The sequence below is a fragment of the Homo sapiens genome, chromosome 20, assembly GCF_000001405.40.
Source record: "Homo sapiens chromosome 20, GRCh38.p14 Primary Assembly".
In the NCBI taxonomy this organism is placed as follows: domain Eukaryota; kingdom Metazoa; phylum Chordata; class Mammalia; order Primates; family Hominidae; genus Homo; species Homo sapiens.
The window spans coordinates 39,643,261-39,671,106 of record NC_000020.11 but is presented as its reverse complement, the minus strand read 5'-3'; the positions used below and the strand labels follow the sequence as shown (position 1 = coordinate 39,671,106).

General features: G+C 42.5%; 1 long non-coding RNA gene across 6 annotated transcripts, besides 1 other annotated feature; it reads left to right on the top strand.

Moving 5' to 3' along the window:
* Nucleotides 8,500–9,699: an enhancer, noted in NCBI's record as "MED14-independent group 3 enhancer chr20:38290050-38291249 (GRCh37/hg19 assembly coordinates)". NCBI's record gives its function as "activates an origin of replication core promoter dependent on BRD2, BRD4, P300/CBP and CDK7 cofactors, and independent of MED14, by STARR-seq in HCT116 cells {active_cell/tissue: HCT116}" and the evidence as "EXISTENCE:reporter gene assay evidence [ECO:0000049][PMID:35650434]".
* On the top strand, nucleotides 10,282–15,784 carry LOC102724950 (uncharacterized). Of its 6 annotated transcripts, none has more exons than XR_936711.3 (4): nucleotides 10,282–10,644; nucleotides 13,259–13,388; nucleotides 14,473–14,917; nucleotides 15,656–15,784. It is a non-coding gene; the product is annotated as an uncharacterized LOC102724950 (long non-coding RNA). The 6 variants fall into 6 exon arrangements; XR_001754588.2 differs by lacking the exon at nucleotides 10,282–10,644 and adding an exon at nucleotides 12,667–12,766; XR_936712.3 differs by lacking the exon at nucleotides 13,259–13,388.
* Nucleotides 15,785–27,846: the final 12,062 nt, after the last annotated feature.

The window sequence follows — 27,846 nt, the reverse complement described above, 5'->3', positions numbered from 1 at the left end:
CATCTGGTTCCAGCGTCCACACCCTTAGCAGCTCTGTAGCTCTACCCAGGAAATGTGTAACGTCTTTCTCCTTTTTTTTCTCCTTACCAATCTCCTACAGAACTTCTCCTCCTCAACAGTAATGTGACAGCTACTGTAGAATGCTTTATTATAGTTTCATGCATTTATCTTATTTACCCAACTGACTGAAATTCCTCCAAAATATTTACATTCCAACAGTGGCATATATATATATATATATGTTTTTTTTTTTTGGTAAATGATACTTAAGCAGTAAGATGTTAAATGTAAAAGTACCGAGGTAGGACTTCAACTGGCTCCAGCAAGCCTTGGATACATGGTCACTCTGTACAGCCCCAGGGAGCTGTCCCCTCCTGGAGTGTTTTGCCTCAACTTCCAACAGAAAGTTTTCCCCTTCCTAGAGAGGGGGAGTTCTTAGAGCCAGAAATCAGGTTGAGCAGAGGTAAGGGAGCCACTTCAGCATCAAGCCACCAAAAGACTAGAGTGTACAGAGTAGAGGCAAGGAAAACAAGAAAGTGCAAGTAGAATATGACACTACATAAGACATTTACATATAAAAAAAAGAGTTCAAATAAAAGACACTGGCTGATGAGGTTTGGCTCTGTGTCCGCACCCAAATCTTACCTTGAACTGTAATAATCTCTGTGTGTCAAGGGCAAAACCATGTGGAGATAACTGAACCACAGGGGTTGTTTCCTCCATACTGTTCTAGTGATAGTGAGTTCTCACCAGATCTGATGGTTTTATACTGGGCTTCCCCCTTCGCTGGGCACTCATTTCTCTCTCCCGCTACTCTGTGAAGAGGTGCCTTCTGCCATGATTGTAAGTTCCCTGAGGTCTCCTCAGCTATGCGGAACTGTGGGTCAATTAAACCTCTTTTCTTTATAAATTACCCAGTCTTGGATATTTCTTCATAGCAGGATGAGAACATCCTTCTCATCCTGAGTTGCCACTGGGCAACTCATCCCAGGTGAGATAGGTAACAGATGACTTGTCTTTACTTACAGGGAAACCCATATGGGTCAATAACTAAAAAGATTTGCTCCAGAGAATAAACCATAGAAATCATCTCTGGATGTGAGTAATCTCTGGATGGTTCTGCATGGTAGAGTATAACTCAAATATTGGCTCCTACTTCTACTGCCATGGTTGCTGCTAACAGGCAGCATTCACTGGTGAGACATGAGAAAGTTTCTATTGCACGCAGCTATAATCATAGTCAACATTTATTGGGCTTTTACTATGTGCCAGGAACTATTCCAAGCACTTTGTTCACGTGAACTCTTTTAACTGTTCCTTCAACTCCATGATGTAAAGAGTGTAACCTGCATTACTCTTGGACCTGGAAAAGAGAGGTCCATCTCCTGGGCCTGGAACTTGCATTTTGTGAGCATACAGGTAACAATATATTTATTGAAACCTCATGGTGGGGCTCCTTGGAAAAATGGCTGATTCTAGGACAGGAGCAAAAAAAAAAAAAAAAAATACATGAGATAAGCCTGTAGCATCATGTAGTGCTGAAAAGTAAGACAGTCCTCAAACGAGATTAAAAGAAAAACAACACAATTATGGGGGTATGTCTAAGGGACACAGGACCCAGCTGAAAGGACTCACAGTGGCCAAAGCTAAAACAACTTGAGCAATAGAATGTTTCAAAGTCATATTGGATTATAATCTAAAGTATAAAATAAATATTCATGAGTCCATACTGATATAAATGAATTATTTAATAAATAAGTGGAAAGAAAGAGACAAATTTCCCATGCAGAAGAACTACAAATAATGTATGTAGATACTGTGCCTTTAAGGCGGTAGAGGAAAACTCCTCAGTCTTTAAGCGTGGGCTGTAGATAGTGACTCCCTTCCAAAGAGAATGATGTGGAAAGGAAGAAAAAACACATAACTTTACAGTGAGGTAACTTGACAAATACTAACTCAGCCAGGTGATCAAGGTCAATATCAAGAGTGACACGTCTTTTGATGATATGATGTGATGCGAATGCCATCTGTGGTCTTCCTCCGAAAAACCAATAGCTAATTATGAGAAAAACATTAGACAAATCCCAATTGAAGGACATTCTGCAAAATACCTAGCCAGTAATCTAAAACTGTCTAGGCCATCAAAAACAAAACAAGTCTGAGAAACTGTCACATCCAAGAGGATTCTAAGGAGACCTGACAACTAAATTCCATGTGGTATTCTGGATAGGATCCTGGAATTGACATAGGATATTTGGGGAAAACGAAGAAAATCTGAGTAAAATATGGACTTCAGTTAATAATAACAATATGGGTTCTTTCTAATAAATGTGTCATACTAATGTAAGATGCTAATAAAAGGGGAAAATGGGTGTATGGAAACATATAGCACTTTTGTATCTTCAAAAAGTATATCTTCGTAATTCTGTAAACCTGAAGCTGTTCTAAAATAAAGTTTTTTAAAAAAAGTTATATACCTCACAATGTCTTTGTTACGCGGGAGCCAGTGTCCTACAAAGCCACCCCTACGACTAACAAGATTAAAATCCCAGGGAAATACTCGTCACCCCTCTTGCCCAGTGGGTGACCTTGAAACCAAAGGAGACTGTATTTAAATGTCATGAGGTCTGTGAGTTGTGCTGCTGTCTTCAGAAATGGACACTGCTCTGGGATTGAGGAGGATTTGAGAGGAGACAAAAGAGAAATCTGTTAGCTTGTCAAATCTTTCCTCTCTGCATGAATGCAAAAGATTCTTCTGTAACGAAGTCTCATTTCCTGCAACCATTTTCTTGCTTCTTTTTGTGTTCCAATGTTGAGTCTCGAGTTATTCACAAATCAGTCCAGCATTCACAACAGCCCCTCAGAACAGCCATGGAATATTTTGCAATGTTAAGCAATTCATAGAACTTTGAAATTTGAATATATGTGAGTCTAGACATAACATGCATGAAGCATGATACCACATTTTTACACCGACAACTAGATGAATATTGAATCCTAGAGTTGTGGCTTTGTTTGAATTTTTCTACAAAATCTTAATTAAATCATAAATACATTAAAATGTCATTTTATTTAATGTTATTAAATGACACTTTCCATTTTGTGTTGCCTATTTAAGTAATCGATTTTTCCTTTTGCTTTTAGTATTTTTCAATATTGTAGAATACTGACTTTTCTGAGAACACTTAAAATATATGTTTTAGTTTTTACATTTACATTTTAAAATTATTTTAACATTTCCAACGTTGACTTAGTTTGCATTTTTATGGATGTAAAATATAAATATATAAAATATATACACATTTTGAATAAATCACATTTTATGTTATAATTGTTCAGGTCATTATTGCCAATAGAACAAAATTCTGTGAAAATCTTGATTATAGTAACATAGTGATTTTGCTGAGAACTCAAAGGAATAAATAATTTTTATGGAATAAATACAAAATAATTTGTAAATAATATGCATCTTTATTTTATGACTAACCCAGTATCTCTGTTTACTAATAGCACATCCAGAACCATGCAGTAACAATTACATTTGGCCACCTTTTATATTTGGATGTCTTTCAGTCATATAAGTATCATAGCTTTACCCATTTTCTGTCTTTCTTTTTCTTCTTTTTTTTTTTTTTTTTTTTTTTTTGAGACGGAGTCTTGCTCTGTCACCAGGCTGGAGTACAGTGGCGGGATCTCGGCTCACTGCAACCTCCGCCTTCCGGGTTCAAGAGGGTCTCCTGCCTCAGCCTCCTAAATAGCTGCGACTACAGGCGCCCACCACCCTGCTCTGCTATTTTTTTTTTTTTTTTCTTTTTTTTAGTAGAGACAGGGTTTCACCATGTTTGCCAGGATGGTCTCAATCTCCTAACCTCATGATCCAACTGCCTCGGCCTCCCAAAGTGTTGGGATTTCAGACGTGAGCCACTGTGCCCGGCCTACACATTTTCTTTTTGAAGGTGTTTCTGTCAAAGTAGGAGGATAGAAAATGTTTGATTCCACAGTTTGCTGGCTTGATATATAGCTTTTAAATATGTAGTCATTGGTATGAGGGTCACTATCTGTACCCATGCCCTGGCACTGCATCAGCAGGGTCTGGACTGTAAGGATAATTTTACAGATAAAGACATTGGCCATTGGTGATCAACTCAACTTACCTGCTTCAGATCCCATGGTAGGTAACCCTGGAAGAGAAGGATCCAAACAGGGCAGAGCTCAAGCTCTTCACTACCTGAAACCTGCCTCTCATGGGCCGTGAGGTGATTGCTATCTGGAGGTTGTTCACCTGCTCCCTAATGCCTATGAAAACATCTGCCTCCTTCTAAAATGTTCCCAAGGCTTCCCTGTAATAGGAACTCTGGATTTAGAGGAAACTATACAGAGAAGAAACCCTGGAGATGGGGCTGAGGCTGGGGAAACTCCCCGACACTCCTAAACCACAGCTTCTCTCTTTTATCTTTATGAATGTTAGAGCCCTGTCTCAAACAGCTGTTGAGAAAATACAAAAGAACAACAAAAAAAAGTCCTTAATATCAACCTTGATGTGGAAAAAAATAATCTTTCGTCAAAAGACAAGAGCAAATATAGTCTCTCCTTCCCCTCGCCACATGGAGACATTTTGCCATCTGCGATCTCCCAGTGCCATCTCTCCTGACCATCCACGTGGAAAAAAGGAAGCAGTTTGGGACCCCATCTCCATTCCCACCTGCTTCTGCCCCTAGTTTCTTTTCCTGACAGCCCTGGCAATAGCAATCGCTGTCAGGCTGTAATTTAAAGCAAACCAGTGCAAACTTGAACCAACTTTACCTGGGTGATTGATGGGTCGAACTGGATTTTTTTTTTCTACTTACATGAGATTTCTGCAAGTAGGTATTATGATCTCAACACATCTAATATTATTCCTTAATCAACTCAACAGCAAATGTTTGGCATCTAGCTTTATAATAAAAGGTATCAATTAGGAGCTGTCGATGTTTTCAGAGGCAATATCTAATTACAGTCACTTGCTATAGGCTATCTTGTTAAAAAAAATTTGAGCAGAATGAGTAAGTATTCTTGACAAGTTCAATGCATTATTAAAGGTGTAATTACTCAGTTATTGCACATGTAATCCTGAGTTAATTGTGTGACTTCAAAATTCATCACTTTTATGTTTATTGAACTTTGATAAGTTCTCCCATACCTGATTTATCCCAATGATACATTATTCCCCTTCTTATTTCAAACTAAATATTTCAGACCAACTGGTTAGAAAGTGAACAGACTTGGGAACACTCTAGACCCAGAACTGACAACAATGGTTATTTTCTAGCGGGAGGGCTAACAGAGGTCTAAAATGACCACTTATAGGGGAACCCAATATGAAAATATGGACGTGGGAGAAAGCTGGCCCAAGGACATTTTCAGGTAGCCACAAAGTCAGTCATGCTTCATTAACAAAAAGTTTGTGCACCAGTCCTTTGCCACATATTTCTAATCCATTGCATTAGTGTACTATTGATTATCTAACAAAGTTGAGGCCAGTGTGTCGCAGGTGGGGCTTTGCTTCTTGTAACGAAAATAGAGAGAATCCAAATGTTGAAATACTGTAAAGACCCCGGTCTTGATGCACACAAATCTTGAGAAAGGTCACTCCAAACAACTTGCAGATACATGCCAAGTGAGGAATACAGCACAGCGGAAGAAGCTGGGAGGTCAGGCATGGTCATACACTACCTTCCCCCAGCATAGGAACCCTCTGTCCTTCTTCCTTGTTTGAGATAGGAAAAAAACAAAGTGTAAGTAATAGGAAAAAACAAACTTTTTCCTACTCTCACACACTCAATGCAGCACAGAACACTTCACCCCTTGTCAACAAAATGTGTGTAGATATTTCCCTACACACCACACAGTTCTCTGAGAGACACTAGCTGGGTTCCCCACAGTTAAATTCAATTTGGGCACTGTCTACCTGGAGATAGCATCAGATCTCACAGATTGAGACCTCAGTCTCCAAGACTGCCCTCACTTCACATGCTAGTCTCTCTAGCCACAGGTTATGGCCTTTGCTTCTGACCAACCAAAAAATTGGGCATTCCCATAACCCCTTTTTGGGTTCAATTAATTTGTTAGAGTGGCTCAGAGAACTCAAGGAAACATTTTACTTTGTTGATTCATGTATTATAAAGGCTATTACAAAGGATGCAGGTGAACAGCCAGGTGGAAAAGGTGTATAGGGTGAAGCCTGGGAGAAGGGATGTGGAGCTTCCATGCCCTCCCTAGGCATGCCACTCTCCAGGGACTTCCACATGCTCAGCAATTTGGGAGCTCTCTGAACCCTGTCTTTTGGGGTTCCTATGGAAGCTTCACTATGTAGGCGTGATTAATTACATCACTGACCATTGATGATCAACTCAAATTTTAGCCCCTCTATCCTTTCCAGAGGTCAGGAGTGAGCCTGAAAGTTTCAATGCTCTAATCACATGATTGGTTCCCCTGGCAACCAACCCCATCCTGAGCTATCCAGGAACCCAAGAAAAGTCACCCCATTAGAACAAAAGATGCTTCTGTCACCCAAGGAACTTAGGAGCTCTGTATCAGATGTTCCTACAACTCAGGAAATTACAAAGGCCTTAGGAGCTCTGTTTTAGAAACTGGTGTCAAAGACCAAACATTAGAAGACAAGATTCTCCTAGCACCTATATCCACAAGGGTTTTAGCAGCTTTGTCTCAGCAACTGGAGGTAGAGACCAAATAGATATTTCTTGTTATATCACAGTATCACATTCTTCTCTCTTTGACTGTCATCACACCTCCAGGCAGCATTTCATCTGAGAGTTCCTTCTGTGTTTGATAGCAGAATCATGTACCTCAGCATCTCTAAGCCTGAGTTTGAACACTTGAAAATGAGGTTGAGCATCTCCACCTTGTCAGCTTTTGAGAGTCCTCGTGATGTGGAGGCTTTACAAATGTTGCTAGTAAATAAGAGAAATCTTCCTCAGACTGTGGGCAGCTCATGCCCTTCAGGTCCTCAGAGGCTGATGACAGCCTCACTTTCCCATCCCCTCCCCTGAACATTCTGCCATTTGTTCCAGAGCACAGCAAGTGGTTCAGGGATGGGAAGCAGTCTCTAAAATAGCATGCACATTCTCTGCCTCCCGTGATTCCTGTCCTTGTGCAGTCCCCCACTTTGAGTATAATTGAACCTCAAGACTCGCTTCTAGCAAATAGAAGTGATGGGATGTCGTGTCTGAGATTAGGTCCATGTGACAAAGAACTGATGTCTGTGGCCAACAGCTGGGGAGGAGCTGAAATCTGCCACTGGTCGTGTGAGAGAGCTCAGGAGTGGATTCTGCCCAGTCAAGACTTGAGATGAGACCACAGCCCAAGACCTGGCATGACTGCAACCTCATAAGAGACCTTGAGGCAGAGGCTCTCAATTAAGCTGCACTCAGATAGCTTCCAAATAGAAATTGTGAGATAATAAATATCTCTTATTTTAAGACACTATGCTATGATGTAATTCATTACACAACAATTGATAACTAATACAAAGGTCCATCCAAGGGGCATGTTTCTGAAGCCATCTTGATTTATCTAGGGAGACATTATTGCGTAGTGCTGAAGAAAATGGCATTTCATGTCTGATATGAGTTTAAAGCCAAGTACCAACACCCTAATTGTTGTGTGGCATTAAAAGTTGACTCTGTGAGTCTTCATCTTTTACTTCATAAACAGAGATATTAGTTCTTACTTCATTGTGTTGTTGTAAGCATTGAACTAGGCAATATCTGCAAAATCACTTACTTGGGTAGCTATCATCATGCTTTTCTTAATTAAGTGGTAGCTATTATTTGTTATCCTCACCTCCCAGTCTTTATAAGACATCCAGGGCTCTTTCACAGCTCTTGATCTACCATGGCAATTATATTTGATATCCTTTGGACAAATTTAAAGTTCTTTTCACTTTTCTACTTGATATTTAACTATCTTGTATTTTATTTCCAAGTGTGTGACTCATGGTACAAACTAATTTCTATTCATGTATTTCTGGGCATGAACACGTGATAATCAATCTGATACCTTCAAACAGGTCTTGTAGAGACAATTTTTCCAAAATAATAAGACAGGATTATTATCCTTGAATGTGATCTTACTCTAGTGGGAGAGACAGACACACAAACACAAATTTGCAGCATAAAATAATGAAGACTGTTAAAATGCTGGCATGAGTTGTTCTTGGTGCAGAGAGGCAAGACCCACAAAATTTGGGTCTCGAAGAATAGGTATTTCCCAAAGCAAACGGGAGAAAGGGTTTCCAGGCAGCCTTCTCAATGGGCAAAGGTAAGCTGATGGAAAAAGGCATAGCATTCTTGGGTAAGGACTATAATATCACTGTGTCCGCATCATAAAGAGGTCTTATAGGAGAGAGAAGGAAAGGACATAAACCAGAGGAGTAGACTAGGGTTGCATTGTGAAAAACAGACATTGCAGCTCCTTCCAATGGTCTCAGTTTCACCTTACAGAAAACAGGAGCAACTGAAGTTTTAAAATAGATATTAGCATGGTCTAATTTCTCCAAATACTATGCTAACAATTTCTCAGGGGATCTTTTGATAGAGGGCTTGTTGAATTGGGGTTTGCCATTCAGTTGAGATAGATAGATGATAGATAAGATGATAGATCAATAGGTAGATAGATAGATGATAGAAGATAGATAGATAGATAGATAGATAGATAGATAGATAGATAGATAGATGATAGACAAATAGATAGACACTTGTTTGAGGGGAATAATGGAGGAATTTGTGGCCTTGAAATATTAACTTCCTCAAATCCAGCTTCCCTAAACACAATCCTAAGCTTTTCTAAGCAGTTCTGTTAACAGCTCCTGCATTAAATACATCATGGTCCACCTCCCTGTGAGGAGTACCCTAGTTCTACCCATTTCAGCAACTCAAAGCAAGGCTATGCCATTCACAGGTTTGAAGACACCTCTCACATCTCTGAACTTTCATTTCTCAAAACAAAAAGCTCTCAATGCTTTCAATTCTCCCTCCAATGCTGTAGTTTCTGGGTGAGTCATCATTCTGGTCACCATTCCTGGAGTGTCAAAGTACCAGTGTGGTGCCCATAACTAGATGGAATTCATATTTGTCCCAGCAAATGCTGGGGACCATGACTCAGCACTTCCTGGGAGTCTCAATGCTATAGGCAATAGCAGATCCTTAAGAGAAATAAGCAGCCCTAAAAAATATGCTATTTTAAATTTCTTGCAAGAAGAGAGACCAACGGGTTCTAGTCTCCTGTATTGATCTTACTTCTAAGCATTGTTTCTCATCATCTTTTGGTTGTACAGCTTTGGCCCACATCCTGAGTGGATTCATCATCCAGGCTGTTGCTTTCCTTAGCTCTCTCAGACCCTCAGAAGTCAGCGTGTGTGGTGCTGCTGAGCCTGGGTGCTGAAGACATCTTATCTACCAAGGGAAACCCAGAAAGGCAAAAGTGCAGTCATTACCCAGGCTGTGAGGCTACTGCAGTGATAAATCCCACTTTATTTCCATTCGGAGGAAAAATCTTCAATTAAATAAGAATTGATTTTCTAATGATTTTTTTTTTCTCCTGCTGGCCATTGGTGGAACACTTGAACCAGCTCCAGCTCTGCCTCATAGGGGGAGAGTAATTAAGTTGCTGCTGCTGACAAAAGGGTTGGCCTCAAGTATGGAAACAACTTAATTCATTTACTTTGGGCAAAACAGAGGGCAGTACCCATCCTGGAAGGGGAAATAGCTAATTAGCGGGAGCCAAAAATGTCAGTGCTGGGCCATTGGTTTGCACATACGGAGCTCTGCAGGTGCTAAATGTGCTCTTGAGACCTGATGGTGGTGGCAGTTCCCTTTTTGTCTGTGCCACTCAAATACTATCAGGGGCAAGTAAGACAAGTGATGTGGAGACAAAGGGGGCATGGCAAACCAAGAGCATGGAAAGAAAAATACTAAAATGTGAGTCATCCTGAGCCACTCCCCAGTCCTGCTTGCTGAAGGAGAATGCCCTTTGTGACATAGGCAACCACCACACCTGGCTTTTTGATGTTTATGATGATCAATAGGCAGAAAGGAGAACTGAAGGAGAAGTCTAGAGAAGCCAGCTACACCTACATTAGAAAGAGTGGAACAGATCACGGGTCACAGGATTAAGGCTAGATGGGGTTTGAGATGTGGGAAGACTTGAGGTCATTTTGAGTTTTGAGAAAAGGAGAGACATGAAGAGGCAGAAAACATGTTTACTGGACCCAGCTACTTTGCAGTGATTAGTGGGACCTTCAGAACATAAATAGATCCTAAGGAGTGAATGCTTGTACCCCTTCCAAAATTTATATGCTGAAGCCTTTATATGGTTGTATGTAAAGACAGACCCACTAATGAAGTAATTAAGGTTAAATGGAGTCATAAGAGAGAGGCCCTAATTCCATAAGATTAGTGTCCTTATAAGAAGAGACTCCAGAGAACTCACTTTCTCACTCTCTCCCTCCCTTTCCTTGCATACAAACCAAGGGAAAATCATATGAGAACATAGCAAGAAGGTAGCTGTCTGAAAGCCAGGAAGAGAGGCCTCAGCAGGAAATGAATCAGCAAGAACCTTGATCTTGGACTTCTAGCCTCCAGAATTGTGAGAAAATTAATTTCTGTTGTATAAGCCACTCAGTCTATAGTATTTTGTTATGGCAGCCCAAGCTGGCTAAGACAGCGGACAGAAAAGAATTTGTGAGTCATGTAATGTTGTTTCCATTGGCATTTGGGGGCAACTGTAGAATAGATTTCAATTGGTTGGTAATTATTTCTGGATATCAGACATATTTTTCTTTTCTACTTTGAAATATTGTGTCTGTGTTGTTTTCTGGATGTGTCACCATTCTGAAACAAACCATCAATCAGCAGAGCTTTGTGTGGGGTCTGTTTTCAAAAACAAGCCACCATGAGCAGTTCCTGACTTGTAGTGCTTCCCAGGGACTCAGTCTATGTCTTAAACACTTCTTTCTTCTTCCCATGTCTCCTTCAGTCTTCAGGCAGACTTGCCAAGTTTTCTCTTTCTTGGGCCAGTGTGCTTTTTCCCCAGCTCATTCTCTGACTTTCTACCCAAAGAGTCACTTAAAAAAATTTTTTTTCTTAAGGGACCTAGGGTTGTATCCTCTTGAATAGTGCTATTGGTAGTAACCAAAGATGCAGCACTGAATAAGCCACTCCCTTCTAGACAGAACTACTCATCCTCAATCTCAAGTACCACATCTTCCAACAGGCCTTCCCTGACCCCCTCTGTCTAAATTAGGTCAATCTCTCACCACCACAATTCTATTCTCTCTCATGGAGCTCATGTTCTTGTCCTTCATAAAAAAGAATCATCACCAGTTGTAATTATATTCTTATTTGTGTATTTATTTATGAAATAGCCCTCTTCTCCACTAGAGTTTGTGAATGCAAAGTCATGATTATTTTGTACACCACTGAATATTCAACAACTTGCAAAGTGTCTGGCATAGATAGAGATAGGTAGGTAGAGAGAGAGAAATAGACGTAGATAGATAGATAGATAGATACATACATACATACATACATAGAGATGGAGTGAGAGATAGAGAGACAGAGATAGAGACAGACAGGTGGGGAGAGAGAGAGAGAGAGAGAGAGAAATGTTCAACCAAAACATTTGTTGGATGAGTAAAAAAAGAAACATGATCCTTTCCCTCCTGAAGCTTACAGTCTATCATGGAATGCAGACAAGTCAACAGATCTTTATCTTTCATTAATAATCGATATAGAAAATATAAACATAAGGTGCCATGGAAGAATATCTTCAATCAAATCCAGCAAAATACCTGTTCTCTACGCTAGGTGCACAGGTGTCTTGACTCATTGCTGCCACACATTGGCCACTCTCATCGAATTCAGAGGACTCATGGAAACCACACACCCACTAGCTGTTCCCTCAGAAGCCCCTGAATTACCAACAAAAAGCTGGTTCGTCTCGGCTACTGAGAAATAATTTGTCATGTTTCATCCCCTAAATGAAAGATGCCAGACTGAATGCCCGTCTGAGAAAGGGACAGAGCATGAGATCTAACAAAGAACCTCAGCACTCAAAAAGTTTACCACTAAAATGGAGTGACAAGGAAAGCAGGGGAAGAAAAATCACTACTGGAAGTACTGCTACTATCACCACTGCTCCTGGGAGGAATCACCGCAGCAGCTGTTCATCAAGTGCTTCCTGCAGCCAATCACTAGGCTAAAAGCACCTGACATGCCACATCACAGCAGCTTGCTAACAATAGCTGCTGTGATTCTCACTTAACAATAAAAGTGTGGCTCAGCGAGGCCAAGGAGCTTTTTCAAAATCTTGTCACTAATAAATCTCAGAGTCCAGGCTTGAACCCATGTCAACCTGACCCTAACGCCTTGGTCTTCACCTGAGTGCTTGCTATGTGCCAGGCATTGTCAACAGTACTTTATATTAATTGTGTCACTTAATTGTTAAACAGCCCTATCAGTTCTCCATCAATATTCCCTGAAGGGAATGGGGCCTTGGAAAGATTAGTGAACTGGACCCCTGACATGATCTCTTCCTTCCAATACTTACAATAAACTACTGTTTAGTATGGAGAAGAAAGACTAGTGGATATTGAAGAACTGGCAGAATAAACACTTGCATAGATGGAAGATGTACAGAGGATGTATGCGATACAGGACTTTAAAGAATGCTGACATCTTTGTGGCTGAAATTAATTGGAAATTTTAAAGTATTCATTTCATTTACCTCTGATTCTAAAGTAATAGAGATTTCTGATGTAAAATTTGCAAAAAAAATTATAAATAATAAAATGAAAATAGCTCATGATTCTACACACAGAATAGCTAATAATTCATTTTGGTGGATTTCCTTTTAGTATATATTATTTGAGTGTGTGTGTGCATGCACATGTGTGCATGTCTATTTTTGCGTATTTGAGATAATGAGCTATGTAGACATTTCTTTTTGTTTGTTTTTACATAGATGTTTCTATTCCATTTTTTGTCTTATATTAAATCTGGACTAATTTTCCTGCTATCAAAAATTCCTAGAGACTAGTATGCTAATAACTGAATCAAATTTTGCCTCTTACATATATTTATTTAATCATTCTCCTTTTGTGAGAGAGTTAGTCTGTTTTCAAATATTCACTAGTATAAACATAGTTTAGAATACCTATCCATAGATGGACTTATCATAAAATTGTGTAATCATTTTTCAGGTTCTTGAAAAATGTCGAGTTGATTTCTCAGATGTTTTACTCACCGATAATATGTGCTTTATCCACGTCAGTGCACTTTTGCCATAAATTATTGTTGTTATCACTATTATTATTTTACTTTGCCAATCTGGTATGTATAAAAAAGAATCTACTGCTTTAACTTGCATTATTTTCCTTTGTCTAATTATATTTTATCTGCAGTAGAATGTTTGTTAATGTTCTCTGTTCAGTTTTTAATTACACTTTAATGTTTTCTTATGGGTATCTACAAAAGATGAGATACTTGCCTTGTTTAGTGTGAACAGTTACCCAATTTGCAGTTTTCCACTTGACTTTGCTTATCTATTGTCACTCTGCTAATCTTTTTCTTTCTCTTTCTTTCTTTCTTTCAGAAATTCTTTTTGTTGTTTTTTGAGACGGAGTTTCGCTCTTGTCGCCCAGGCTGGAGTGCAATGTCGCGATCTCAGCTCACTGCAACCTCTGCCTCCTAGGTTCAAGCAATTCTCCTGCCTCAGCCTCCCGAGTAGCTGGGATTACAGGCACGTGCCACCATGCCCAGCTAATTTTTATATTTTTAGTAGAGACGGGGTTTCACCATGTTGGCTAGGCTGGTCTCGAACTCCTGACTGCAGGTGATGCATCCACCTCAGCCTCCCAAAGTGCTGGGTTTTAGAAATTCTATTTCTTTTTAGGGACTTCCAAAACATTTATGGGCTGGGGATGGTGACCCACACATCTGTAATCCCAGCACTTTGGGAGGCCAAAGTGGGAGGATTGCTTGAGGCCAGGAGTTAAAAGCCAGCCTGGGCAACACAGTGAGACTGTCTCTACAAAAACTAACTAACAAAAATAGCCAGGCCTGGTGGTACACACCTGAGGTGGGGGATTGTTTGAGCCTAGGAGTTGGAGGCTGCAGCGAGCTATGATCATGCCACAGCGTGGGTGACAGAGCAAGACCCTGTCTCTAAATAAAATAAGATATAAAAAAGTTTTATCTATATTTTATTTGCAACTTTTGTGTTTTTATTGTAAAATATAATATTTTAATATACCTGGAATTTATTTAGATGTACGATGTGATGAAATAGTTTAGTTGTATTTTAATATTATATTATTACTTGATTTTATTTAATAATCTCTCTATCTAAATTAATTCAAGATTTGCCCTAGGACAATTTATGAATACACCTTTCTTCTATTCTCTCCTATTACAGAAATCCGTCCTGGAATTTGGCACATGTATGGGATATGGATAGAAAATAAGAGCAAAGAGGAATTCAAGATAATGAGGCAATATAAACAAAAGTTGAAAAGAGAAAATGAGCATGCAGTGCCTAGAGATGCCAAGGAATCCAGATCACTGAGGTCGGATAGATGTGTCTTTCCAGAATTTGATGAGGTTAACCAGGTAGAGCCAGATGGTAGAGATCCTTGAATACCAGGCAAGGGAGTTCATCTCTCCACCTGTAAGCATGAAGGAGCCACGGGAGATTTTGCAAAGGGAATGACCAAAACGAAAATGGCATTTAGGAAATGAGTTTGCCAGAAGTACCTGGGAGAAATGGGGACTAGGCACTGAGAATGTAATTCATAGCACAGCAGAACAGATACTAAAAGATCGTTCTGGAAGCAGAAGGGCTGGTTTCCAGCTTTTCTGAGGTAAGAGAGAGAAATGGCGAGGGCAAGAGGTAGGGAGTGGGAACAGATGAAAGAATTGTGACACCAGGTTCCAGCCAGAGTGCTGCACATTTGGTCATCCTCTGGGCCAGGCTAAATAAGACCAATGACTCTGTGACAGTGCTCCCTCCAGGACAGTGGGCTGTTCAGGGGACACACTGTGCCCACTTATCCCCATGGCTGCTTAGGCCTGCTGCACTCACACTCGGAGACCGGGGGTCCATCCTCACTGCTTCTTCAGTTTTTTTGTTTTGTTTGTTTTGTTTTGTTTTGTTTTGTTTTCCGGCTGGTGGTCTGTCCACTCACAAGTGCATGGTGTCCCCTAGAACCACCCTGACTCCTGGAGGCCCCAGCCTGACCAACGTAGAGAAACCCCATCTCTACTAAAAGTACAAAAATTAGCCACCGGGCATGGTGGCACATGCCTGTAATCCCAGCTACTTGGGAGGCTGAGGCAGGATAATCGCTTGAACCTGGGAGGCGGAGGTTGCAGTGAGCCAAGATGGCACCATTGCGCTCCAGCCTCGGCAACAAGAGTGAGACTCCATCTCAAAATAAATAAATAAATAAAAAACTATGAATCAAATTTCTCCCAAAGTTAGCCTGGCCCAAGCCCTGGAATGACCAAAGGCAGTTTGGAGATTAAAAGCAAGATGGGGATTGGTTGGATCGGGTCTCTTTCACGGTCATAATTTTCTCACTGTTACAATTTTTGCAAAGGTTGTTTCACTGTGGGTAACTGCTAAGGCCTTCACCCTTGATGCCAGAGGTGCTGAAACACATTGCCACACGGCGAAAGAAGTGCCCTATTGGCCCAAACACATTGAATAAACATCTACCTCAAACCTTTCCACGTGTGATACCTCACTTTTTAGCAGGGCTTCAGAATAGAAGGCTCACCTCTTTCTCTCTTCTTTACCTTAGAACTTAGCACAGGGCCTTGCAGTATTGGGGAAAAGAAAAACTGAATGGTTTGTAGAGGTAAATGAACCCTTGTTGATTGAGTGACTGACTTGCCTGGCATATGCTTGGTCCCCTGTGGTACACTTAAGTGTTTATAACATATAAATAAGTCAGGTGAATATCTCTGCTTCACAGATGTGCTCAGTTTTTTCTTGAATTATTTAGTCTTTTGGGGACATGATTCCTAATCTTGACCATATGTTGTCTGGGGACTTGGGGGCACAGGTTCTCTTTAGAAAGAGGATAGAAATGAGGACAAGTATGGAAACCCCAATTCCTGTGACTATTTTTTTTTTCACATGTTGTTTAAGGATGACACTCAGGAGGGTAAGATTTGGAGCTCTTGCTGTCCCATTACCTAGGGAAGGTACGACAAGAAAAATGTTCTCAGCACAGCTGTGTACTACATGTAATTCAGGAGGGTAAGCCAGTTCAGACCACCCACAGTACAGAGCAGGATAAAAATAGGAACTTGGAGCACCTGGGCTGGCTGAGAAACAGCCAGTTCCCAGGGCTTAGCCTCCACCCCGTTAAGCAAACATGGAGACCTAGCTCCTTTTATTAGGTGAATGGGAAGAGAGAAAATTGAGGTATAATAGAAAAGTAACTGTGCACAAATTTTATTTCACTATTTTTACTCTGCAGCCTGGTATCTGGAATAACTCAGGCAATGATGATGCCTTAGGTATTTCTTTTAATTATTCCAGCGCTACCTTGCCTCCTAGCCCTACTGCAAGCACTCAGCTACTCCAAGCAAAGCCATTCTAACAATTTCGATTAAATCCTGGCCTCTTCGCAACCACACACAAATTAAAAGCATTACTGGATGATCCCAGCTCTAGCTCTTGAAAGTGTTGTTATACAAAGAAGGAAGAACGCTGCCAAAGGCTGCTTGGCATTTCCTCTGCCACAGGGGAGAATTAACCCATTGGGTTTCAGGGACCAAGCTTTTTTTTTTCCCCTCACTTTCAACTGTTCTTTAAAAAAAACAAATTCTATCAAGCACACTTTAAACAGATTTATAATATGGAAGGTACCAATGAGTTTTTCAAGAGCACACATTTCCCCCAAAGTTTTGAGAATGCCAGCTTCATGTTTGTAAGATGTCTATCCTTGTCACTTGTTAATCATAGTCTTGTTTTGTCCGGGAAGCTCTGGCTTAGGAGACTTCCCCAAGTTAATTGTCTCATTTGTTTGGAGATTTGAATAAGGGACGCTGGGCCTGCTATGACTTTATATAATAGTCAGCCTCCCTTAGAGAATAGAGAAATCTAGAATCACTGCCCAAGGCTTTGTTATGCACAGGTCTGCCTGATGCCACAAGCTCACAGTCCCCACGTCTCTATTCTATGGTGCAATAAAGCTACCTAGAGGACCGAGGTGAGAGGAAGGGCACCCAAGCACGTATAGAGAGAGGACAGACTAAGCCCGCTTTTCAGGACCAGGCTAGGAAACTGGAGCTTAACAGATGGCATGAGGCCTGCCTCGAGCTTCACATGTGGTAAAACCTGGCATCAAAGCCAGGTGTTGTGGCACCTCTTCCAAGTCTTTCCCCACTCTGCCACACTACTTCTCACCATGAGGAATGCCCATGGGAAGGTCACAGGGAGATGCGACAAGCCAAGAGGGCAAGGGCGCAAGCCAAGGAAAGCAGGGACAGGGAACTGGGATGGCGAGAAATCTCACTGACAGATATATCTTTCCAGCCCCCAAATCTTATAAAACCTTTTATGGGAGCACTCTTATCACAAGTGCACAGCTTAATGACTCTTCCCAAACTGAATGTTTCCCCAAAACCAACACAGCCAACAACAATAAACATTATCACCTCCCCGAAGCCTTCCTCACATACCCTTCCAGTCACTGCCTCGCCCAGGGCAAACATCATGCTGATGTCTAATACCGGGGACTGGTCTACCTGTTGCGTTTCATATAAAGGGAATCACACACCATACTCTCTTCTGTGTCTGTTTTCTTTCTTTTAACACTATTCCCATCATCAGATCCCTCATGTATGGATGTGGTTGTAGACTGTGCGTTCTCATTGTTGTATAGTATTTCATTGTGTAAATAGAACACAACCAAATAAATAGTAATATTTATCTGCTTTGCTGTTGATGGGAATGTGTAACCTCAACATTGGTTGTTTTTTGTTTGTTTGCTTTTATCTTAAGAGACAGGGTCTTGCTGTGTTGCCCAGGCTGGGGTACAGTGGCTATTTTCAGATGCAATCAGAAATGCACTGTAGTCTTGAACTCCTAGCCTCAAGCAATCCTCTCACCTCAGTCTTCTGAGTAGCTGGGACTGCAGGCACCTACCACCATGCCTGGCTTCAACTATTTCTGATAGGCTTGCTGCTTGCTGGTGCCTTTAGAATTCTGTCCTGTGCTATCATTAGGCATTTCCTAAAACTCAAACCACCTCTGCATATCATGAAGGGAATGCTATTCTGAAAAAGACTTCCTTCAAAACTCTCAGCTGTGGTGACTGTGTTGGAATCAGACTGAGGTTTCAAAATCATTCTCTTACGTCTAAGAGGGAGAGAGTTTTCTTGGGGGTTCCAGGGAGGAGGAAGAGGTTCCAATTCTCCTGTACCAATCTTCGTCTACTAAAGATGGCTCTCTGGGCATGGAAAGGCTCCCTTTTGGGTCTGCAGCTATGATCGATCAACAATATTTGCTGCTGGAGAGAGCAAGTGCCCTCTGATATTATGTTCAATCTTCATTACATAGACAAGGAGCTAAAGCCTGGTCAAGTTAGGGACAGAACTGGGCATAAACTCATTCTCTCTGGGTGTTGCTGAAAAATCATTGACTTGTTGGTTAATTACATGACAACATGAAGACCTGTTAGCACCTGTCAGGGAAAGACCTGTGGAGGCATAAGTTATTCTTCCTTCTTCTCAGAGAAGTCTGGTTAGGAAAAAGAAAAAAACAAAAGGCCAAGCCAGTGTGCCGGGGCTTCAGCCATCCCCCTGCCACCCTCCTTCCTCCATTGCCAGCGCCATTTCCAGGCTGGCTGCTCTTGCAGAGAAACCCAGCTCTGGGGCCCAGGTCCAGAGGAGAAATCACTCCCTGCCTCACTTAAGAAAACACTCTCCTGTCTCCATCAATCAGTGGGTTCCCGCTCACAGCCCTTCATGCCGTCGCCTCCCCAGGAGACCCAGATGTTTTATTTACGGGCTGGTCTCTTTAGGAGGAGGCCGAGTCAGGCATACATTTTGCTTCCTATTATTCGTGAGCCTTAGGTAGAGGGAGGCTGCAGTGGCAGATAAGAGAAGCCTTCAATCAAATCTTGATGAAATAAACCAATTAGAGAGATTACACCTCCATAATAATGTTAATTGTACAGACTGGAAATCGCAGCCTTCCTGGCTGACTCTGCTTCTGGCTGCAGGAGGAATCTTTCAGCATCTCCAGAAATCAATGGCAGTCCCTGCCTGTCTGGTGAAGGGGCAGAACCACTGCCAGAGGAGCCCAGGGTTTCCCTCCAGGAGGACCCAAAGCCTTAGTTCTGAGATGCTCTTGCCAGTCCTATTGCAAGGACTAGGAGTGTGCCCAGGGCCCTAGAAAAGACTGATCCTCCCACCCCTAGTCCCTGTCCACCACTCATCTTCCCATTGCACCCACTGCAGCCAACAAATGTCCATACAAATTCTCCAGGGGCCCCCTACCTATGTGGGAATCAGAATAAAACCCATTCATTCACGTGTTCAGTTTTATTTATTAGGAGACATTTATTAGGAGGTTCCTCTATGCCAGGCACTGTTCATAGCAATGAAAAAAAAAAACACACAGAGCTCCTGCCCTCATGGATCTTACATTCAGTGAAGGGAAGAGCCAATAAGCAAACACAAGTCTTCATTAGTATATTGGATGGTGAGAAGTGCTACGGAGGAAAATGAGGCTGGGAAAGGTAGCACTGGTGGGAAGAAGAGCCCAGTAGTATTGTGTGCACCATTCTCAGAGATGTATCCCCTAAAAAATTGATGTTTGAGCAGAGTTGGAAGGAGTGAGAGAGGCAGCCAAGGAAGGACTCCAGGCACAGGGGGCAGAGCCAGCCACAGAGAACTCCAGGCACAGGGGGCAGAGCCAGCCACAGAGGACTCCAGACACAGGGGGCAGAACCAGCCATGGGAGGACTCCAGGTTCAGGGGGCAGAGCCAGCCATGGGAGGACTCCAGGCACAGCAGGCAGAGCCAGACACAGAGACTCCAGACACAGGGGGCAGAGCCAGCCACAGAGGACTCCAGACACAGGGGGCAGAGCCAGCCATGGGAGGACTCCAGGTTCAGGGGGCAGAGCCAGCCATGGGAGGACTCCAGGAAGAGGGAGGAGAGCCAGCCACAGAGGACTCCAGGGGCAGGGTCAGAGCCAGTTACGGGAGGACTCCAAGCACAGCAGACAGAGCCAGTTATGGGAGGACTGCAGGCGCAGGGGACAGAGCCAGCCATGGAGGACTCCAGGCACAGGGGGCAGAGCCAGTTATGGGAGGACTCCAAGTGCAAAGGACAGAGCTAGCCATGGGAGGACTCCAGGCACAGCAGACAGAGTCAGTTATGGGAGGACTCCAGGCACAGCAGACAGAGTCAGTTATGGGAGGACTCCAGGAACAGCGGACAGAGCCAGTTATGGGAGGACTCCAGGCACAGCAGACAGAGTCAGTTATGGGAGGACTCTGGGCACAGGTGGCAGAGCCAATTACGGGAGGACTCCAGGCACAGCGAACAGAGCCAGTTATGGGAGGACTCCATGCACAGCAGACAGAGTTAGTTATGGGAGGACTCCAGGCACAGGGGGCAGTATGCACAAACACCCAGAGGCAGAAAGAAGTTCACGTGGTGAAGGTCCCTAGATGGTTGAGGCAGAGTGATTGACACAGTTGTGTGTGGCAACCTAATACACGTCTTTATCTCCTGATGGGTTATGAGATCCAGGGAGACAAGCTCTGTTTTATCACCTGCTTTTTCCCTCTCTATTGTAGCCTGTGCCCCAGCACATTGCCTGCACATGGTAAGTGCCCAATAAATATTTGTTGATTTAATGAATTGTTAACCAACTAATGAGGAAAATGAGCGTGTAGAAAGCTCCCTGTACCAAGGTGAGGGTTGGTGCAGATGTTGAATAGGAAAAGAGGCTGGGACCTGGGCCTAGGAAGAGAGAGGTGGGAGGCAAATTTCCTGGGGCCTAAGCCAGGCTCTGGGCTGGGTGGCAGAGAGGTCTGTTGCCCCACTTCCCTGGTTGCATCAGCATCTTGCCAGCCCCAGCCTTCAGGACCTGTAACAGAAAACAGCTGGCTAAAGAGAGAACAACAGTGGTATTCTCCTTACCTGAGGCAATTCCTGACATAAACCCTATAAAGTCACTCTGATGAACAGAGTTGATGAATCTATGTATTATCGAGTTGGTAGTTATACCACCACATGGGAATTTGACATAGCATGCAAGGAGTGTATATATATAATTGATAAAGTACGCTTTAAAATGTAAATAAAGCAACTATGAAATGCCACACGTATATTCAGTTAGTAAAAATATAAAATAAAATGCTAATTTTGAATGCTGGCACAGAGACTATGAAACTGTCATTAATTAGTGGTTGGCAGAGTATATTTTGGCAACACTTATTCAGAAAATAACTTGGCAATTGATTGCCAAGACAAACAAAAAAAAAGTTCATACATTTAATTCAGTAATAACAATACTGGGAATGTACTCAGTAAAATACCTAAATATAGAAAAACTATATGTTTGAAAATACACATTCCAGAATGAATTATAGTAGTGAGAAAACTTACAAACAACCTAGCCATCCAAAAATAGAGATACAGTTAATTTAAATTAGTGTATATATATATATATATATAGTCACTGAAATTTTATGCAACAACTACAGTTAAAATTTTCTAGCTAAAATGGGAACACAGAAGCATGCTTATAAAAGAAGGAGCTAAATAAGTGGATATTTAGCAACACGAATGATATTTCAAGTATATATTTGCATCTAGACAAAGACACAAAGTGAACAAGCAGAGATAAAAGTTGTCATTTTGTTTGGCAGATGGCAATACATATATTTAAGTAAAGCAAGTGTGCTCTAAGTTAAGCACTGGTGTTACCAAGAGTTTCTCTCTTGACCTGCTATGAAACAGACATAGAGCCGACACAACATTAAGTAAAGAGGAGAAAGCTGAGGTACAAAGAGAGCGAGACACTTGTCCAAATCTCACTCAGAAACTGTGCAGTGGTCATTGATGGTCCTTACGGTTCAAACTCAACTGAGGACTTTTTTTTTATTTCAATAGATTTTGGGGTATAAGTGATTTTTGGCTACTTAGATGAATTGTCTGGTGGTGAAGTCTGAGATTTTAGTGCACCTGTCACTCAAGTAGTATCCATTGTGCCCAATAGGTAGTTTTTCATCCCTTGCCTCCCTCCTACCCTCCCCATTCTGAATCTCCAATGCTCATTCTGGGTGTGCCTTTTGTACCCACAGCTTAGCTCCCACTTGTAAGTGAGGTCATGTGGTATTTGTTTTCCATTCCTGAGTTACTTCACTTTGGACCTTTCTTTTTTAATACACATGTCCCGGTCAGAATTTCTAGGATAATGTTGATTCAGTGAGGCCATGGAGTTTGTACTTTTAAACAGCTCCCCAGTGATTGTGTTACCAACTGGGGCTGGTAGCCACTAACAGGAGACCTGAGAACCAGTTATCCAGATAGGAGTCAGGGAAATACTGGGTAGAAGAGGGTGGTTCCCCAGCAAAGGCCTCACCCTCAAGCCTGAAAACCCGCAGCCCTAAATGAGGACAGGCATTTCTGTTTTTGCACCCAAAAACTTGCCTTTTGGCCTGCCATGCCCCCTGATCCTGCTGCCATATAAACCTGAGACCTTATCGGTCACACACACAAGCAGCTGAACATCAAGAGGAGCCACGGAGAGTGGCAGAGAGCAGCGGACAGCAGCAGGGTGGCACAGCAGAGAAGGAGCTAAGGGGCACCTGAATGTTGAGAGGAGTTCAGCTGAGAACAGCCAAACTCCAGGGGAAGATTATCTCCCCCACCCCTCCACCTTCCAGCTTCCCATCAGTCTCGCTGAGAGCCACCTCCACCACTCAAAACCCTGCACTCATTCTTCAAGCCCACATGTGATCTGATTATTCCAGGACACTGGACAAGAGCTTGGGATACAGAAGGCTGTCATACTGGCCCTCTTCCTTTGCAATAAGGCAGAGGGTCCATTGAGCTGATTAACACTCAAAGCTGTCTGCAGATGGTAAAGCTGAAAGAGCTTTGTAACACTGGTGTTGCAGGCACTCACCGATAGACACTACCGTGGGGTCAAGAGCCCAAAGCACTCACTCCGGCCTCTGCACTTGCCCGTCTGCATGTTCCCCCTAGGAATTTGAGCTGTGGGGTGATGAAACAGGTGAGCCACACTCGTGTCGCACATCCTATGAGGGGAATCAGAGGTCCTACAAGGGGAATCAGGGAACTCTCCACCTTCACCAGCAGTCAGCTTGAGTGTCTTTGATGAAGTTTTACCAAAGATACCTCTGGCTGAGTATTTACTATGTGCTGGGCACTGTTCCCACTGCTTCATATGGACTATTCCTATTAGGCCTTCCTATCTCCTGACAAGGTAGGAATCACTCTCATCCCATTTTGCAGATGAGGGGAATGAGGCATAGAGAAGTACAGAAGCATGCAGCCCATAGACTCCTATGGCTACTTGACCTTACATTATTGGACCTCCCTTCAATTTGGTCTTGGACACACCAGGAATGTGTCTCACATTCTTCCCTTACCCTGGGGCCCCAAATACATTGGCTCATTTGATTTTGAGGAAGCAAAAGGAAAATAATTCACGCAATGGGCTCATCCAGAAGGGCACTCCTGCTTTGGGAAAGGGCAGGCAAGGACTACAGACTCTGGGATGTTGGGGAAGAGTCCTCAGTCGTGCAGAGTTTATAAACAGCCAGCGTGACACGCCCTCCCATACTCGACATCTCTCTGCAGCTGAAGATTGATTATATGCAAACAGTTTTCGTAGCAATCGGCACATGTTTTAACAAAATCCAATGCAACCCAAGTCAGGCTAATTGTTTCAGAGCACAAGCCAGGTGTTCTTGCTGACCTAGTGGCCCCACAAAGCCTCCAAAGCAGATTTGAGCTATATATGGCTTTTTGTCATACAAATCCTAGGGCTCACTTAGCAAGTACAAGAGAGGAAGATTTCAATGTTTCCAACCCAGTCAGTAAACTTCTTTAATGTAGGAAGTTACTCTTTTCCTCATTCATTAGGCTCATTCATTAGAAATAGAATGAATATCTCTGAGTTTGGTACAGTGACTGTCATCAGGGAAAAAGGAGGATGTAACTAAACAGAGTCTCTGCCCTCTGAGGACTCACAGTCGAGACAGAGGAGGCAGGCACTAATTAAAGAGTCACATGAAAATATATAAATATAGATGGTGGTAAGTGCTGATAAGTGCTATAAGGCTTTAACAGGGACTCCTGACCAGTTGGGAGGTCAGGAAAAGTTCTCAGAGGGAGGGTTTTCTGATGAGCTCTGAAGGATGATCTAGACGTTGAGCAGGGAAAGGAAGAGAAATAGCACAGCGTTTTCTAGAAATGTAACAGAAAGCACATAGAAGACAAGGAAAGCAGGCTTAGAAAGTTGGTGGGAACCCTATCACAAGGGGACCTCATTATGGTAGATTTTCTAAAGCTCTTGACAGGCTTTAAGCTGGGAATGACATAATCAAATTTGTATTTTAGAAAATATAGCCCTACCTGCTTTGTAGAGAATGGATCTGGGGTTGGAGGTAGGAGTGAAACTGAACAGAAGTAGGAGGCTATTTCAATCATTCAAGCTCAGGAGTTGGAAACCTAACCAGGCTGGGGACTGTGGATAGACAGCGGTCAATGGAGTCAAGAGGTAAATGGAATTAACATTACTAGGACTTGGTAATGAATTGAGGTGAGGAAGAAGGAAGTGTGTAATCTCTAGGGATTATAGTTTACCTTGTGTGGAGTTCTACCTGGAATAAATATCTATTAAATTATCAATAGTTCGCTTTTATGTGATTGTTTTTGAAAAACTTGGGGAGAAAGTCCCAGGACATTGGCCCTCAAAAACTAGGACCCAAGTGTAATGTCTGATGTTTTTTAGAGTTTGTACCATTTTCTGGTCCAGTGGATTGGGAGAGGAAAGGGGCATGGGAGGGGTTGGTTCAACAGGAAAATAGCCTTTCTATATCCCACAGGTCTGAGGGACAGAATGTGTCAGATTTTCTGCTGTATGGGTGACTGGTTCTCCATTGGAAGCAAAGAAGGCTGAGAACTGAGCCACTGGGCTAGATGTCAAATGTGGGGTCTAGTTGTGTCACTAACTTGTCTGTGACCTAAAGCAAGGAGATCATCTCCCAAAGCAGTATAATCATGGTCAGCACCTGGGACATAACCTCCTGACCAGCTTTGAACCTGGTGCTACAAGCAAGAGGGCCAACGTGGGTATTTCCTGCCCAGGGTCCTCAAAAATGCTTAATAGTCGAGCGCTCCCTGTGCTGAAACTGACCCAAGGAGCTCTGCGGGATTGTAAAGAACGAGCAAACTACACAAACTTCAACATTTACAAGGCTGTAGAGAGCCAGGGAAAGGTCAGCTTGTGCTCCTTCTGCCCCCAAACAGAGGAAACTGTGACCCTGGCCTCAAAGGCCTCGGGGCTGCCTTGCAAACAGAGCCCTAGGGGCTGCTGTTTGGAATAAAAGCTGGTCACAGTGTTTGAATCAAGCTTTAGAGTTCACATTTCCCTACACACTGGCAGCAATCACAGTTGTTGAAAACAATGGAAACTGGGCTGGCTTGCTGGACAAAATAAAGCCCCAGGGAAAAGGCCACGTGAGAAATACAGCCATGTTTGCACCTGCAAACATACAGCCGGCTTCCCCCACCCCTTCAGCTCCCCCAGGCCTCAGCAGGATGCTGGATGCATTCCAAGCCCAGGTCCTAGCAAAATAATAGGAAGATTTCAATCCAGGACTTCAAATGTCATCACAGCTTGGTGCTGCCACCTTGAAGATCAGGCATTTCTTAATAAGAGATAGTTGTTTAAAAATGCAGGTTTCTGGGCGTTTTAGGAATTGCCAATCCCTGAGCCAGTTCCAGACTGGGGCCTAGGAATTTGCATTTTTAACAAGTCACCATGAGTGTGTAGGTCACAGCTCTGAGAGACACTTATGAGGAGTCTAGATTTTTTTTTTTAAATCTCATAGGGACCCCTTAGAGAATCTGCTAAAAGCTATGGAAGTACTTTATGGAAATTTTTTACCAGACTTTGAACAATTTCAAAGTCCTTGTATGTCCACGAAAGAGTGTATAATCGAAGGTGCAAGGCAAAAGGAGTAAAACACAGGACCTGAAGCCGAAGTCATTGAATGGCACCACCACTGAGGATCAGAAGTGCATTGCTTTGAGCCCTGAGCTCCGCCCTTCTGGACTCTGTCATTCTCTCCCTTGACAAGACTTGAGTCAGGTTTCTCTGAGTTCTCTTTCTTACTAGGCCCTGGTCTTTGGCTCTGATCTTGCCCTAGTGACTCTGGCCAGTTAGTCCAGTTTTAGCAGACTCTTGCTTGGTCAGTTTAGTGAAAATCTCTCATCCTTGGTAATCTAATCAAATTCCTTATCCCCCACTCTGGCCTGCCTTAAGCAAGAATTTTATCAAGTCAGTCTAGCCAGAATCCCCCTATCCCTGATGTCTCTTAGTAATTTTCCATCTCCTGACCCCTCACCTTGCTCCTTGGCTATAAATCTCCACTTACGCTTGCTGGAGTCAGAGTTGAGACCAGTCTGTCTCCCCCACTGTAAGACCCCATTGCAATGGTCCCTATACTTCCCATCCTAGTCCCTGACCTTGAATAGTCTTCCTTGCCATCTTTAACAAGTGTCATGAACACTTTTTTTCTTTAGCAACATCCCACAACAGAAGGTTGAAACAGCAAGAAAAGAAGCTTAAAAAGAAAGGACCTGGCCCCCATGAGCCCAGGGTTATGAGTTTTAAAAGCCGGACACATAGGTATGCCTGCACTAAAGTAAGCAGTGTAAGGACTGGAGGTCCCAAGGTTTGAGAGGGATGCTGTGGGGTGTGTACCGTTCTGTGGGTTTAAGAGCTGCGCAAGGGAACCATTATCTAGTGTTTGAAAGCAACGGCATTATAGGTATCTGTGCTGCATCTAGGTTCTGTCCTTTATTGGCTACATGACCCTAAACATGTTCCTTTATCACCTGAAGCCCCAGTTTCTCCTCATTGGTAAAATGCAAATGATAATACCTAGCTTACAGGGGTTTGTGAACATAAAATAAGATAATGAGATTAAAGCATTTAGCATATTGCCTGGTGCATGATAAGGACTCAATAAACTGTGGTTATCAAAGTTACCATCATCATTCCTTTTCTTGAAATTCAGACTGCCCGGGCCTCTTCCCATAAAAAATAAAAATTAAAATTAAAAAAAGTCTTCTTACCCATTTTTGGTATCCAACAAAGCACTTTATACTTAATAGAACAAAAATAAGGTTTTAATAGATTTTGGAAGGTGGAGAGAGAAGGAAGAAACAAGAGAAGGAATAAAAGTGGAGAAATAGAAAATGAGTAAATGAATGTATGTATGAATGAATGAATGAATGAATGAATGAATGAATGACAAGGATTTAGGGAGCTGATTCAGGATCATTATTTTGGCCATCATGCTATAAATCCTTCACCCTCACCATTCCAGATCAGAATTAGATTTTCTAATGAGAGCCAAGTTTACTTTTCTCAGGTCTTTCACATGCCAAGTGCATGCACAGAGCTCACTGAGCCGGCTGGTTCAGAATGCCATCCACTATATTTCAAGCTAAGTTGCCTCAGCCACCATGGAGCCTGCTCGTCTCAGTTTCCTGC